This window comes from Homo sapiens, chromosome 7 (assembly GCF_000001405.40).
Source record: "Homo sapiens chromosome 7, GRCh38.p14 Primary Assembly".
In the NCBI taxonomy this organism is placed as follows: domain Eukaryota; kingdom Metazoa; phylum Chordata; class Mammalia; order Primates; family Hominidae; genus Homo; species Homo sapiens.
In genome coordinates this window covers 55760853-55775923 of record NC_000007.14, presented here as the reverse complement: position 1 = coordinate 55775923, position 15071 = coordinate 55760853, and the positions used below count along the sequence as shown (strand labels likewise).

Below are 15071 nucleotides of genomic sequence, written 5' to 3'. Positions count from 1 at the left end.
CAAGATCGTGCCACTGCACTCCAGCCTGGGTGACAGAGCCAGACTCCATCTCAATAAATAAATAAATAAATAAATAAATAAATAAATAAAATAATAATAGCCCTTCCCCAAAACTCAACCACCTTCATAAAGCTAGTGAGAGACCACCAGGCTAGGAGGATGAGAGAAGCCTAAATTCCGCCAAGGTGTACACATAAACACCGTTTCTAGTTATTATTCTAGAGGGCAGGCACAAGATTTGTAAATCCCCGTTACTCCTGCAGGTTACATCACGACTGTAGAACCTAAGATTGGCCTTTTGAGATGTCTTTTCAGGTTTTTGCATTTCTTTTTTCTTTTCTTTTTTTGTTTTGTTTTGAGGCAGTTTCACTCTGTCACCCAGGCTGGAGTGCAGTGGCACAATCTCTGCTCACTGCAACCTCTGCCTCCTGGATTCAAGCAATTCTCCTGCCTCAGCCACCCGAGTAGCTGGGATGACAGGCGTGCCCCACCACATTTTGTATTTTTAGTAGAGATGGGGTTTCATCATGTTGGCCAGGTGGGTCTCCAACTCCTGACTTCAAGTGATCTGCCCATCTTGGCCTCCCAAATGCTGGGATTACAGGCGTGAGCCACCGTGCCTGGCTCAGGTTTTTGTGTTTCTGACCATCAGTGGCTCCACCCGGACCTAACTAACCCCGCCCCCGCCCCCACCCGACCCCACCCCATGGCCAATTCTGTGGCTCCACCCAGAAGCGAATCCCCTGGCCTGCCAAAGTATCCTTGAAGAAGTCTAGCCTCCGAATTTTTGGGGAGATTGATGTAAGAATAAAGCTCCGGCCTCCTGTTTGGCCGGTTCTGCACGAATTAAGCTCTCTATTGCAATTCCCATCTTGAGAAATGGGCTCTATCTGTGCCGCGGGCAAGAACTAGTGGGGCAGTAGCAGCTGTGACGGTCAGACAGTGAAAACCAGTGGGGGATCGGTCCTCCCACCCGCCCACCAATGGCCTGCTCCTGCCATGCACACCGGGCAGCATAGAGGCTGATGCCGTTTGCAGCACTTTTCAAGGTCCTGGCATGCCTGGTCCTGCCCAGAGCTTGGCACTACTGAAAAGTGCAAACACCACAAAACGGTTTCTAGGAGAGCGACCAGGAGGCATTCACAGTTGGGAACAACGGCCTCATTGTTTGGAATCTCATTTAAATGGTGCCAAACCTATTTCATGTCTCTCCTTCAGAAACTGATTTGGAAGGAAATTTGATTAATTTGATTTGCTTATGTGGCTGAATAATTATTTATTTAATTATATAGCCAAATTTGGTTAAGTAAGTTTTTCAACTAATTCTCAATATTAAAAACCTTATGGCTTTTTCTACTGAATTATCCAACAGTATCCACTTCCTAACCCCGTGGCTTTCCCCTCCCCCATACCTCCAGGGAGGGTATAGAATCTCACACGTTCAAAGCGTGTTCTGAAATTTCCCTTGCTTGGCTCTGCTCAAAACAAACACAAACCTGGCTTTCAAGTATTTCCACGTCATTTATAAAAAAGAAATGTGTTTATATAGGCTGTTAGGAGTTATTAATATTTAATTCATTTAGGGGAAAATGCTGGCCTTTGTGATTAAACTTGTTTTTATTTCTTTTACTTTATGTGATTTTCAAATATCCTTTTTTCTTTTTAAGAGACAGGGTCTCACTCTGTCACCCAGGCTGGATTACAATGGTGGAGTCACAGCTCACTGCAGCCTTGAACTCCTGAGTTCAAGGGATCCTCCCATCTCAGCCCACCAAGTAGCTGGGACTACAGGTGGGTGCCACCACATCCAGCTAATGTTTTTATTTTTTGTAGAGACAGGGTCTTGCTGTGTTGCCCAGGCTGGTCTCAAACTCCAGGCCTCAAGTTGATCCTCTTACCTTGTCCTCCCAGAGTGCTGAGATTACAGGCGTGAGCCCGAATATCCATTTTTCAATCAGTACTTTTGTTTAAGACTCTATTGTTATATTGGAGGCGAAAAAAAAAAACCAATCTCTGTAACATTTCATATATGACAAATCCCAAGAGGTAAAAAAAGGACTTTCCAGGTCCCAGGGCTTTAGGAAGTGGGAGTGGGCTCATGGGGTGAGGACATTGTGCCCAGCACTAAGCAAAGTCTTAAGCCTGTTTCTTGCCTGGGGGATGTTTATGCTTCAACACAGTACCTGAAATATTGGATATTCCAATATCCAAGAGGCAGAACTGCAAATTCCACAAATCTGTTCTGACACATGGATAAACTTTTATTGACATACCAAAGGGAAAAAAACCAATATTCACTGAAGGCTGCCGAATCTATATTCCTAAGAGTAAAGGTGTTTAATTGACTCTCCACTCTTAAAACACTTTGTATGAAATATAGCTAGGAATATACATAAAGAATTCAGATTACAAAACTCTCCAGGAAATCGATAGTGATCATATAATACTGGAACTACAGTTAAAAACAAACAAACCAATCTTTGAGGATTCCTAACTGTAGTTTACTTGACAGTGCAGATCATCTGTACCAACTTTCTATAGCAAGTTGTAATAGGCAATTGTAAGCAAACAGTATCAATCTGTGTAACTTGTAAAAATTCATCTGAAGTTGTTTGGAGCTGTATGACAATGGATGTTATTCTTCCGGTTCTCCCAGCAGCTCTACAAAATCAGTGATATACCATTTGGCGTTATCCTTGACTTGTTGCCTGATCACATTTCCTCCAAATCCAATGAAAGCATCCTAAGAAGTAAGAAAAGAGAGATAAATGATTTTTATTTTTATTTATTTTTTTGGAGGCTCTGTTGCCCAGGCTGGAGCGCAGTGGTGTGATCTCTGCTCTCTGCAACCTCCGCCTCCCGGGTTCAAGTGGTTCTCCTGCCTCAGCCTCCCAAGTAGCTGGGATTACAGGCACCTGCCACCACGCCTGGCTAATTTTTGTGTTTTTAGTAGAGATGGGGTTTCACTATATTGGGCCAGGCTGGTCTTGAACTCCTGACCTCTGGTGATTTGCCCACTTCGGCCTCCCAAGGTGCTGGGATTATAGGTATGAGCCACAGCACCCGGAGGAGAAATGATTTTTAGAAAATCAGAAAACAAAGGTTGCAGGAGCAATAGAGAGCAGTAAGTGTTTCAAACTTTTTTTTTTTTTTTTTTTGAGACGGAGTCTCACTCTGTTGCCCAGGCTGCAGTGCAATGGCGTGATCTCTGCCCACTGCAACCTCCGCCTCCTGGGTTCAAATGATTCTCCTGCCTCAGCCTCCCGAGTAGCTGGGATTACAGGTGCCTGCCACCACACCTGGCTAATTTTTGTATTTTTATTTTTTTTATTTTTATTTTTATTTTTTTTATTTTTTTGAGACGGAGTCTCGCTCTGTCGCCCAGGCCGGACTGCGGACTGCAGTGGCGCAATCTCGGCTCACTGCAAGCTCCGCTTCCCGGGTTCACGCCATTCTCCTGCCTCAGCCTCCCCAGTAGCTGGGACTACAGGCGCCCGCCACCGCGCCCGGCTAATTTTTTGTATTTTTAGTAGAGATGGGGTTTCACCTTGTTAGCCAGGATGGTCTCGATCTCCTGACCTCATGATCCACCCGCCTCGGCCTCCCAAAGTGCTGGGATTACAGGCGTGAGCCACCGCGCCCGGCCAATTTTTGTATTTTTAGTAGAGATGGGGTTTCACCATGTTGGCCAGGCTGGTCTCAAACTCCTGACCTCAGGTGATTCGCCCACCTCGGGCTCCCAAAGTGCTGGGATTACAGGTGTGAGCCACCGCACCCAGCCAGGTGTTTCAAACATAAACTATTCCTGCAAAGAGAGGTAAGCCTGGCCTCCCCCAGGGTGCCTTTGCTGAGTACACAGCACCTTCCTCCTTACATCCTCCCGTCTTCGCCTCCTGGCTTCCTCCTATCCCTCACTGCACTCTCCTGCATCAGTACATGCACCACTGCTGGGGACCCATTCAGCTGGACAATGTCAGGGCTTCTGGAGAGTAAGATGTGGTCCCTGCCCTCTTATAACCAAGACAAATGCCTACAAAAATAAAAATCACATCAGTAGGTAAATGTTTGAGTTCTAAACTAGATGGCAGGAGCTGAGCATGGTGGCTCACACCTGTATTCCCAGTACTTTGGGAGGCTGAGGCGGGAGGATCATCTGAGGTCAAGAGATCGAGACCAGCCTGGCCAACATGGTGAAACCCTGTCTCTACTAAAAATACAAAAAATAGCTGGGCGTGGTGGCAGGTGCCTGTAATCCCAGCTACTCAGGAGGCTGAGGCAGCAGAACTGCTTGTACCGGGAGGCGGAGGTTGCAGTGAACAGTGATTATGCCACTGCACTCCAGCCTGGGTGAGAGAGTGAGACTCTGTCTCAAAAAATAAAATAAATAAGAAATAAACTATATGGCAGGCCAGGCATGTTGGCTCATGCCTGTAATCCCAGTACTTTGGGAGGCCGAGGTGGGCAAATCACCTGAGCGCAGGAGTTCAAGACTAGCCTGGGCAACATGGTGAAACCCTGTATCTACTAAAAATACAAAAATTAGGCTGGGCATGGTGGCTGATGCCTGTAATTCCAGCACTTTGGGAGGCCGAGGCGGGCAGATCACGAGGTTAGGAGATCGAGACCATCCTGGCTAACGTGGTGAAACCCTGTCTCTACTAAAAATACAAAAAAAATTAGCCGAGTGCAGTGGCATGCACTTGTAGTCCCAGCTACTCGGGAGGCTGAGGCAGGAGAATCGCTTGAACCTGGGAGGTGGAGGTTGCAGTGAGTATAGATCGCGTCACTGCACTCCAGCCTGGGCAACAGAGCGAAACCGCATCAAACAAACAAACAAACAAACAAACAAACAAACAAAACTACCTGGATGGAAATCGCATCCCTGCCCTGTAATTTCAAAGAAGGGAAGATCAAAGAGAAGTCTGCGGTGTAGAGGAAATCCCCTTGGACCTGGGATCTGGTCCAGAACAGGCACCGCCCTGCCTGGGAGGCCAAGAGTCGCAGTGTGTGCATAAGAAATGGTGGGGGATTTTCTATTCTGGGATGAGGGAGAACTGTTGGTAGTGCTCTACGTTTTTTTTTTTTTTTTTTTGAGACAGGGTCTGGCTCTGTCACCCAGGCTGGAGTGCAGTGGTGCAATCTCGGCTCACTGCAACCTCCACCTCCTAGTCTCAAGCCATCCTCCCACCTCAGCCTCCCAAGTAGCTGGGACTACAGGCATATGCCACCGTACCCAGCTAATTCTTGTAGTTTTTTGTAGAGATGGGGTTTCGCTATGTTGACTAGACTGGTCTGAACTCCTGAGCTCAGGTGATCTGCCCACCTCGGCCTCCCAAAGTGCTGGGATTACAGGTGTGAGCCACTGCCCCCAATCTACACCTTTTTTTTTTTTTTGATTGATTGATTCATGTGATTGATTGAAACACTCTACTTTTTCATAGTTAAAATTGTTTATAGGCCATGCGCAGTAGCTTATTCCTCTAATCCCAGCACGTTGGGAGGCTGAGGAGGGAGGATGGCTTGAGGCCAGAGTTTGAGACCAGCATGGGCAATATAGTGAGACCCCATCTCTATAAAAAAAATTAAAAACTATCTGGGGGTAGTGGCTCATGCCTATAGTCCTAGCTACTCAGGACGCTGAGGCAGAAGGATCACTTGAGCCTGGGAGTTCGAGGTTGCAGTGAGCTGTGATTGTGCCACTGCCCTCTAGCCTGGGTGACAGAGTAAGACCCTGTCTCAAGAAAAAAATAAATAAATAAAAATTGTTTATAGTTATTATTATTTCATTAGTTGTACTAACTGATACCCTCCTTTTGTGCATGATTTTTTAAAATAGTATTTCCTTTTTTCTGGCAGGATATAGACACAATACTGCATATACTCATTTGAAAGTACAAAATTCTGTTACTTGTCTTTTCCCTTCACTTTTTTTTTTTTTTAAGACAGTCTTGGCCAGGTGCGGTGGCTCACGCATGTAATCCCAGCACTTTGGGAGGCCAAGGCGGGTGGATCACGAGGTCAAGAGATTGAGACCATCCTGACTAACACGGTGAAACCCCGTCTCTACTAAAAATACAAAAAATTAGCCGGGCGTGGTGGTGGGCATCTGTAGTCCCAGCTACTCGGGAGGCTGAGGCAGGAGAATGGCGTGAACCCAGGAGGCAGAGCTTGCAGTGAACACAGATTGCCCCACTGCACTCCAGTCTGGGTGACAGAGCGGGACTCCATCAGAGCGAGACAAAAAAAAAAAAAAAAAAAAAAGAAAGAAAGAAAAAGACAGTCTCGCTCTGTCACCCAGGCTGGAGTGCAGTGGCACAATCTCAGCTCACTGCAACCTCTGCCTCCTGGGTTCAAGTGATTCTCGTGCCTCAGCCTCTCGAGTAGCTGAGACTACAGGTGTGCCCCACCTCACCTGGCTACTTTTTAAATTTTTTGTAGGGTCTTGCTATGTTGCCAGCCTGCTCTCAAACTCCTCCTGCCTCAGCTTCCGAAGTGCTGGGATTACAGGTATGTCCCACTGCACCCAACCAATCTTGTCATTCCTTTTTGGTTTTATGAGACAGGGTCTCACCCTGTCACCCAGGCTGGAGTGCAGTGGCACAGTCATGGCTCACTGCAGCCTTGAACTTCTGGGCTCAAGTGATCATCCTGCCTCAGCCTCCTGAGTAGCCAGGATGACAGGTGCACACCACAATCCCTGAATAATTTTTTAGAGACAGAGTTTTGCTACGTTGCTCAGCTGGTCTTGAACCTCTGTGCTTAAGCAATCCTCCCGCCTCGGCCTCCGAAAGTGCTGGGATCACAGGTGTGAGCCACCGCTCCTGGCTGATTTTGTCATTTCTTGAAAATGAGATTGGGAGCTCTGAGAAAACTCTTCATTTTACTTTTATGTATTTCTCATTAAGCTAGGCCAATGTTCATTGCTTAGCCAACCCCAACACTGGTTATAAATTATCTAAGCTAACAATTCAAAAGCAGCCAGTGTGGTGGCTCATGCCTGTAATCCTAGCACTTTGGGAGGCTGAGGTGGGTGGATCACCTGAGGTCAGGAGTTCGAGACCAGCCTGGCCAACATGGCAAAACCCCATCTCTACTAAAAATACAAAAAATTAGCTGGGCGTGGTGGCGGGCACCTGTAATCCCAGCTACTTGGGAGGCTGAGGCAAGAGAATTGCTTGAACCTGGGAGGCGGAGGTTGCAGTGAGCTGAGATTGCACCATTGCACTCCAGCCTGGGTGACAGAGTGAGACTCTGTCAAAAAAAGAAAAGATTCAAAAGCTGGGCACGGTGGCTCATGCCTGTAACCCCAGCACTTTGGGAGGCCAAGGCAGGCAGATTACCTGAGGTTGGGAGTTTGAGACCAGCCTGGCTAGAACCTTTTTCTTTTTTGAGATGGAGTCTTGCTCCATCATGCCCAGGCTGGAGTGCAGTGGCGTGATCTCGGCTCACTGCAACCTCCTGCCTCCTGGGTTCAAGTGATTCTCCTGCCTCAGCCTCCCAAGTATCTGGGATTACAGGCACCTGCTACCACACCTGGATAATTTTTGTATTTTCAGTAGAGACGGGGCTGATCTCAAACTCCAGTTTGGTCTCAAACTCCTGACCATAGGTTCTCAAACCTTTTTGACCAGGCTGGTCTCAAACTCCTGACCACAGGTGATCCTCCTGTCTCTGCCTCCCAAAGTGCTGGGATTACAGGCAATAGTCACCTTCGCATCCAGCCAAAAAGGTTCCTTTTAACTCTTTTTCATTCATCATTCACAAAGACTATCATTTTTTTATTTTTATTTTTTAGACAATCCCTATTTTTAGATCTCAGGAAACTAGGTGGTAAAAACTTCATATATGTTTTGAGATGCAGTCTTGTTCTGTTACCCAGGCTGGAATACAGTGACGTGATCTTGACTCACTGCAACCTCCACCTCCTGGGTTTGACTGATTCTCATGCCTCAGCCTCCTAAGTAGCTGCAATGATAGGCACCCATCACCACTTCCAGCTAATTTTTTTGTATTTTTTGTAGATATGAGGTTTCACCATGTTGCCCAGGCAGGTCTCAAACTCCTGGCCTCAGGTGATCCGCCCGCCTTGGCCTCTCAAAGTGCTGGGATTACAGGTGTGAGCCACTGCACCTGGCTACACTATATTTTTGGCGTAGTTTTTCTTATGTTAGAATAACATGATAAAGGCTAAGCCCTACGTGAAATGGACACATTTGATATTACGACACCTGCTATATAGCATTTGTTTCCTGCATTGATTTTAAAATGCTTAGAAATAAAATCCCCAGCTGGGCATGTTGGCTCACACCTATAATCCCAGCACTCTGGCAGGCAAAGGTAGGAGGATCACTTGAGCCAGGAGTTCAAAATTAGCCTGGGCAACATAGTGAGACCTCATCTCTACAAAAAATAAACAAAATTAGATAGGTGTGGTGGCATGTGCCAGCAGTCCCAGCTACTCAGGAGGCTGAGATGGGAAGATCGCTTGAGTCCGGGAGGTCGAGGCTGCAGTGAGCTGAGACCGCGCCACTGCACTCCAGCCTGGGTGACAGAGCGAGACTCCGTCTCAAAAAATAAATAAAACCAGGGCTGGGCGTGGTGGCTCATGCCTGTAATCCCAGCACTTTGGGAGGCCACGGCGGGCAGATCACAAGGTCAGGAGTTCGAGACCAGCCTGGCCAATATGGTGAAACCCCGTCTCTACTAAAAATACAAAAATTAGCCAGGCGTCGTGGTGTGCACTTGTAGTCCTAGCTACTTGAGAGGCAGAGGCAGAAGAATCGCTTGAACCCGGGAAGCGGAGGGTGCAGTGAGCCAAGATCACGCCACTGCACTCCAGCCTGGGTGACAGAGCGAGACTCCGTCTCAAAAATAAAATAAAATAAAAAAGTAAATAAAACCTCTGCTAGTCTCAGAAAATGACGTTAGTTCAGAGAAATAAAATGCTGTGGTGGTGTGGGATGCAGTGGCACACACCTGTAATCCCAGCTACCCAGGAGGCTGAGGTGGGAGGATCGTTTGAGCCCAGAAGTTCAGGGCTATGATAAGCTACGATCGCACAACTGAACTCCGGCCTGGGTGACAGAGTGAGACTCTTTCTAAAAAAACCAAAACCAAACATAATATTTGACTTCACAGGGCTGTTATGAGGATTAAATGAGGTAACATATGAGGAACTAGTATATAAAGTATAAAAAGATGTTAAAATCTCGGTTATGAGTTGTTGATGGTATTATTTGGGGAAATGAAATCAACTCTTATTGAGCACACACCTAGGCTAAAAGGTGGTGCCCATGCTACAGGGATAAGGCATTGTTAAAAGTTTTAAAAGGTTTTTAGTTCCTTATTCATAACTTTTCTTGGGTTTGCACAAAGTCAGTTGACATAACAAGATTGAATTTGTTTTTATTATTTCGTTTTTATCTTGTAATGAGAGTTGTTTTTGTTTAACTCCTGTTTTAAATCTTATATAGTTCTAAATCAGCTGTTTTTATTTTATTTTATTTATTTATTTTGTAGAGATGGGGTCTTACTATATTGCCCAGGCTGGTCTCAAACTCCTGTGCTCAAGCGATCTTCCTACCTCAGCCTCCCAAAGTGCTGGGATTATAGGACAAACCAGCTGTCTAAAACAAAAGTACGGTTGGGCACTGTACAAAAATTAGCCAGGCGTGGTGATGGGCACCTGTAATCGCAGCTACTTGGGAGGCTGAGGCAGGAGAATCACTTGAACCCAGGCGGCAGAGGTTGCAGTGAGCCGAGATCAAGCCACTGCACTCCAGCAGGAGCAACAGAGTGAGACCCTGTCTCAAAAAAAAAAAAAAAAAAAAAGAATATCACTCTCAGTCACTCCTTGATATAACTGGAGATCTGAGATAATATAACAGCTGTGGCACCGCTATGGACCACAGAGGGGATAGGAGGCTTCCCCAAGGGCAGCTGTAGTTCAGTAATCTGTTAACAAAAGTCTCCCTTCTAAAGTCTCTGTCTTTTTTTTTTAAAGACAGAGTATCGCTCTGTCACCCAGGCTGTTAAGTGCAGTGGCGCGATCTCGGCGCACTGCAACCTCCGCCTCCCAGCTTCAAGTGATTCTCCTGCCTCAGCCTCCCAAGTAGCTGGGACTACAGGCATGTGCCACCATGCCCAGCTAATTTTCCTATTTTTTTTTTTTTTTTTTTTTTAGCAGAGTTGGGGCTTCACCACTTTGGCCAGGGTGGTCTCGAACTCCTGACCTCAAGTGATCCTCCTGCCTTAGGCTCCCAAAGTGCTGGGATTACAGGCGTGAGCCACCGTGCCCAGCCAAAAGTCTCCTTCTTGAGTCTAAATTGCTTCAAATGCATAGAAGCTCCCATAAAATTGAAATACAACACATAGCAAAGTAAGTCATAGGGGCTATGTAGGAATTAATGTTTCACGAAATGCAGACATTTATGTACAGACAGGTGATGTTATAGATAATAAAGCTAAGACAGGTGATGATCTAAGTCTGTTTTGCTGAGCAAAGGGTACCAAAGGGCAAAAGACATCAATTAAGAGAACCATTCATCTCGGCCGGGCGCGGTGGCTCACGCCTGTAATCCCAGCACTTTGGGAGGCCGAGGCGGGCGGATCACGAGGTCAGGAGATCGAGACCATCCTGGCTAACACGGTGAAACCCCGTCTCTACTAAAAATACAAAAAATTAGCCGGGCATGGTAGCGGGCGCCTGTAGTCCCAGCTACTCGGGAGGCTGAGGCAGGAGAATGGCGTGAACCCGGGAGGCGGAGCTTGCAGTGAGCCGAGATCGCGCCACTGCACTCCAGCCTGGGCGACAGAGCGAGACTCCGTCTCAAAAAAAAAAAAAAAAAAAAAAAAGAGAACCATTCATCTCAATATTTAACTCTGATGTGACTGTTCAAGTTGCATTCCAAAAGACATTACCCAGAATACTGAATAATGGAACTGCTAAGAAAGGGAACATGTTACCGTTAACATCTTACCATTAAGGTAGAATTTCAGCCTACTGGCAAATACATTGGTTGCTGGGATATTGAGCTTTGAAGCAACATGCTCTATAATACTCCTAAAGCCACCAGATATTAGGAAAACCTGAACATTTCGCTCCTGTAGGCGACTTACCAGCTCCCTGCAAAATAAAATACAAAATACCCAACACTGAGTAATACAAAAGAAAACAAAAAAAAAAAACGAAACATGAAGAGGGAAATAAGATGTATTTTCTTCTCCTGAATGCATTTGCCTGAGGTATGTTTGACAAGGTATACTGCCTGGGGTGTTAATGTTTTCTATATGTTTTTCTCTTTATTTTTTGAGACAGAGTTTCACTCTTGTCACCCAGGCTGGAGTGCAAGGCTGCAATCTTGGCTCACTGCAACCTCTACCTCCCGGGTTCAAGCGCTTCTCCTGCCTCAGCCTCCTGAGTATTATAGGCCCATGCCACAATGCCCGGCTAATTTTTTTTTTTTTTTTTTTTTGAGATGGAATCTTGCTCTGTTGCCCTAGCTGGAGTGCACTGGCATGATCTCGGCTCACAGCAACCTCTGCCTCCCGGGTTCCAGTGATTTTCCTCCCTCAGCCTCCTGGGTAGCTGGGATTACAGGCGCCTATCACCACGCCCAGCTACTTTTTTTGTATTTTTAGTAGAGACTGGGTTTCACCATGTTGGCCAGGCTGGTCTCGAACTCCTGACCTCAGGTGATACACCCATCTTGGCCTCCCAAAGTGCTGGGATTACAGACGTGAGCTACCGTGCCCGGCTTAATTTTTGTATTTTTAGTAGAGACAGGGTTTCATCATGTTGGTTAGCCTGGTCTCGAACTCCTGACCTGGTGATCCATCCACTTCGGCCTCCCAAAGTGCTGGGATTACAGGCGTGAGCCACCATGCCCAGCCTTATATGTGTTTTTCTAAATGTACTTAGAAATCAATGGGTAGGGCTTGGCTGCTTTAGGAAACCATTCTAGAACTCTACTCTGCCCATGGACCCAGAAAAACACAAGATGAGGACAAAAAGGAAAGCTTAGGTTTTCCCTGGAGAAAGAGGAAAGGCAGAAACAGACAGGACCAGACAACCGGCCAGACAAGACCACGTGTAAGTGCCAGAAGAACCACACAGTCCATGCCTTTAATTCCAGCACTTTGGGAGGCCAAGGTAGAAAATCACTTGAGGCAAGGAGCTTGAGAACAGCCTGGGCAACACAGCAAGATTCCATCTCTACAAGAAGATTCTTAAAGGCTGGGTATAGTGTCTCAAACCTATAATTCCAACACTTTGGGAGGCTGAGTTGTGAAAATTGGTCACTTAAGCCCACAAGTTCAAGACCAGCCTGGGCAACGTAGTGAGATGCTATGTCTATAAAAAAATTTTTTTTTTTAAAATTAGGCATGGTGGGCCAGGCGCGGTGACTCATGCCTGTAATCCCAGCACTTTGAGAGGCTGAGGCAGGTGGATCACAAGGTCAGGAGATTGAGACCATCCTGGCTAACATGGTGAAACCCCGTCTCTATTAAAAATACAAAAAATTAGTCAGGTGTGGTGGCAGGCGCCTGTAGTCCCAGCTACTCGGGAGGCTGAGGGAAGAGAATGGCGTGAACCCAGGAGGTGGAGCTTGCAGTGAGCCAAGATGGCGCCACTGCACTCCAGCCTGGGCAACAGAGCGAGACTCCATCTCAAAAAAAAAAAAAAAAATTGGCATGGTGGCCTATGTCTGTAGTCCCAGCTACTTAGGAAGCAGAGGCAGGAGGATCCCTTGAGCCCAGAAGATTGATGCTGCAGTGAGCTGTGTTCATGCCACTGCACTCCAGCCTGGGTGACAAAGCAAGACTTTCAGAAAAAAAATTCTTTAATTAGCTGGGCACGGTGGCATTCACCTGTAGACGCACTGGCTTTTTTTTCCCTCTTAGCACAATGTTTTCAAAGTTCCTTTATGTCATAGTGTGTATCAGTATTTCATTTCTTCTGTGGCTGAATAATATTCCATGGTAGAGACACACTGCATTTTGTTTATCTGTTCATCAGTTGATGGACATTTGGGTTGTTTCCACGTATTGGCTATTACGAACAATGCTGCTATGAAGATTGCTGTACAAGTTTTTGTGTGGACATATATTTCTATTTCTCTGGGATATATGCCTAGGAGTGAAATTGTTGCATTATATGATGACTGTATGTTTAGCCTTTTGAGAAACTGCCAGTTTGTCTTCTAAAATAGCTACACCAGTTGAGTGTGATGGCTCACACCTGTAGTCCCAGCTACTCAGGAGGCTCAGTTGGGAGGATGGCTTGAGCCCACAAGTTCAAGATCAGCCTGGGCAAGATAGCAAGACTCTGTCTTGATTAAAAAAAAATCCAATTAAAATGACAAGAAAAGCGTGGTTACACGATTTTATGTTCCCACCAGTAATGTATGTGGGTTCCAATTCCTACACATCTTTGCTGACTTTTTTTTTTTTTTTTTTTTTTTTCTAGACGGGCTTGCTCTGTCTCTCAGGCTGCAGCACAGTGACGCCATCACAGTTCACTGGAGCCTTGACCTCCCAGGCACAAGTGATTTTCTCATCTCAGCCTCCTGAGTAGCTGATAATTACAGGTGCATGCCACCATGCCTGGCTAATTTTTATATTTTTTTTGTAGTGATGGGGTTTTACCATGTTGCCCAGGCTGGTCTCTTACTCCTGGCCTCAAGTGATCTGCCCACCTCAGCCTCCCAAAGTTCTGGAATTACAGGCTAAGCCACTGTGCCCAGCCTTCACCAACATTTGTTATTATCTGTTTTTTTTTCTTTATATCTTAAAGCAGTATAAGAACAAGTGTCTTCAATTATATTAAACAAAAAATATAATCCCAGGGCATTGGGAGGGTGGGAGGGTGAGATAGGAAGATCTTTTGATGCCAGGAGTTTTTTTGTTTCTTTGTTTGTTTGTTGTTTGTTTGTTTTGAGGCAGTCTCACTTTGTCACCCAGGGTGGAATGCATGCAGTGACGCGATCTTGGCTCACTGCAACCTCCGCCTCCCAGGTTCAAGTGGTTCTCCTGCCTCAACCTCCCAAGTACCTGGGATTACAGGCCCATGCCACTACTGCCTGGCCAATTTTTGTATTTTTAGTAGAGATGGGGTTTCGCCACATTGGCCAGGCTGGTCTGGAACTCCTGACCTCGGGTGATTTGCCTGCCTTGGCCTCCCAAAGTGCTGGGATTGCAGGCATGAGCCACCACGCCTGGCCTGATGCCAGGAGTTTTAGACCAGCCTGGGCAACCTAGCAAGACCTCGTCTCTACAGAATATTTAAAAATTAGCCAGATGTGGTGGTGGCTGCCTATAGTCTCTCTCTGTATTTTATTTATTTATTTATTGTATTTTTTTACTTTTTGAGACATGGTCTGGCTCTGTCACCCAGGCTAGAGTGCAGTGGTGTGATTATGGCTCACTGCAGCCTGAAACTCCTGGGATCAAGTGATCAACCCTCCCACCTCATTCTACCAAGTAGTGGGGACCACAGGTGCATGCCACCTGGGTCTCGCTATGTTGCCCAGGCTGGTCTTGAGCTCCTGGCCTCGAGTGATCCTCTCACCTTGGCCTCCAAAAATGCAAGGATTACACCTGTGAGCCACCATGCCTGGCCCCTACCCTGCCTATTGAGAACCAGAAGAATGATCCAAATTCTCCTTAGCTCAACTCAAGCCGTTTCCCGATTGCTTCATCAGCAAGGAGCTGGTTATTGGGCTGTCCAGGCCTCCCAAGCAGCACAGAAATGAGGTGAGGGAGTTTTCCTTCTGCTCCACTCCGTGAGGAGTTGGAGGATGATGTTTACTCATTTGCAGAGAGAGATGCCTTGTAGCCACCTTAGGATGGAGGGGACCCTGATTCCAATGTCCTTTTTTTCTTTAGAAACAGGACCTTGCCCTGTCACTCAGGATGGAGTTCAGTGGTCCAATCATGGCTCACTGTAGCCTCAAACTCCCAGGCTCAAGCAATCCTACCACGTCAGCCTTCCCAGTAGCTGGTAAGCACCATGACACTCAGTGAATTTTGTTTTTATTTTTTTGTAGAGATGGGGCCGCACTATGTTGCCA

The 15071-nt window shown here is 46.4% G+C and overlaps 1 pseudogene, besides 1 other annotated feature; it reads right to left on the bottom strand.

Moving 5' to 3' along the window:
- Window positions 467-966: an enhancer, noted in NCBI's record as "H3K4me1 hESC enhancer chr7:55842651-55843150 (GRCh37/hg19 assembly coordinates)". NCBI's record gives its function as "activates a minimal SCP1, AML or CMV promoter by ChIP-STARR-seq in primed H9 embryonic stem cells {active_cell/tissue: H9 hESC(primed)}" and the evidence as "EXISTENCE:reporter gene assay evidence [ECO:0000049][PMID:30033119]".
- Window positions 2241-11127, bottom strand: PSPHP1 (phosphoserine phosphatase pseudogene 1; annotated as a pseudogene).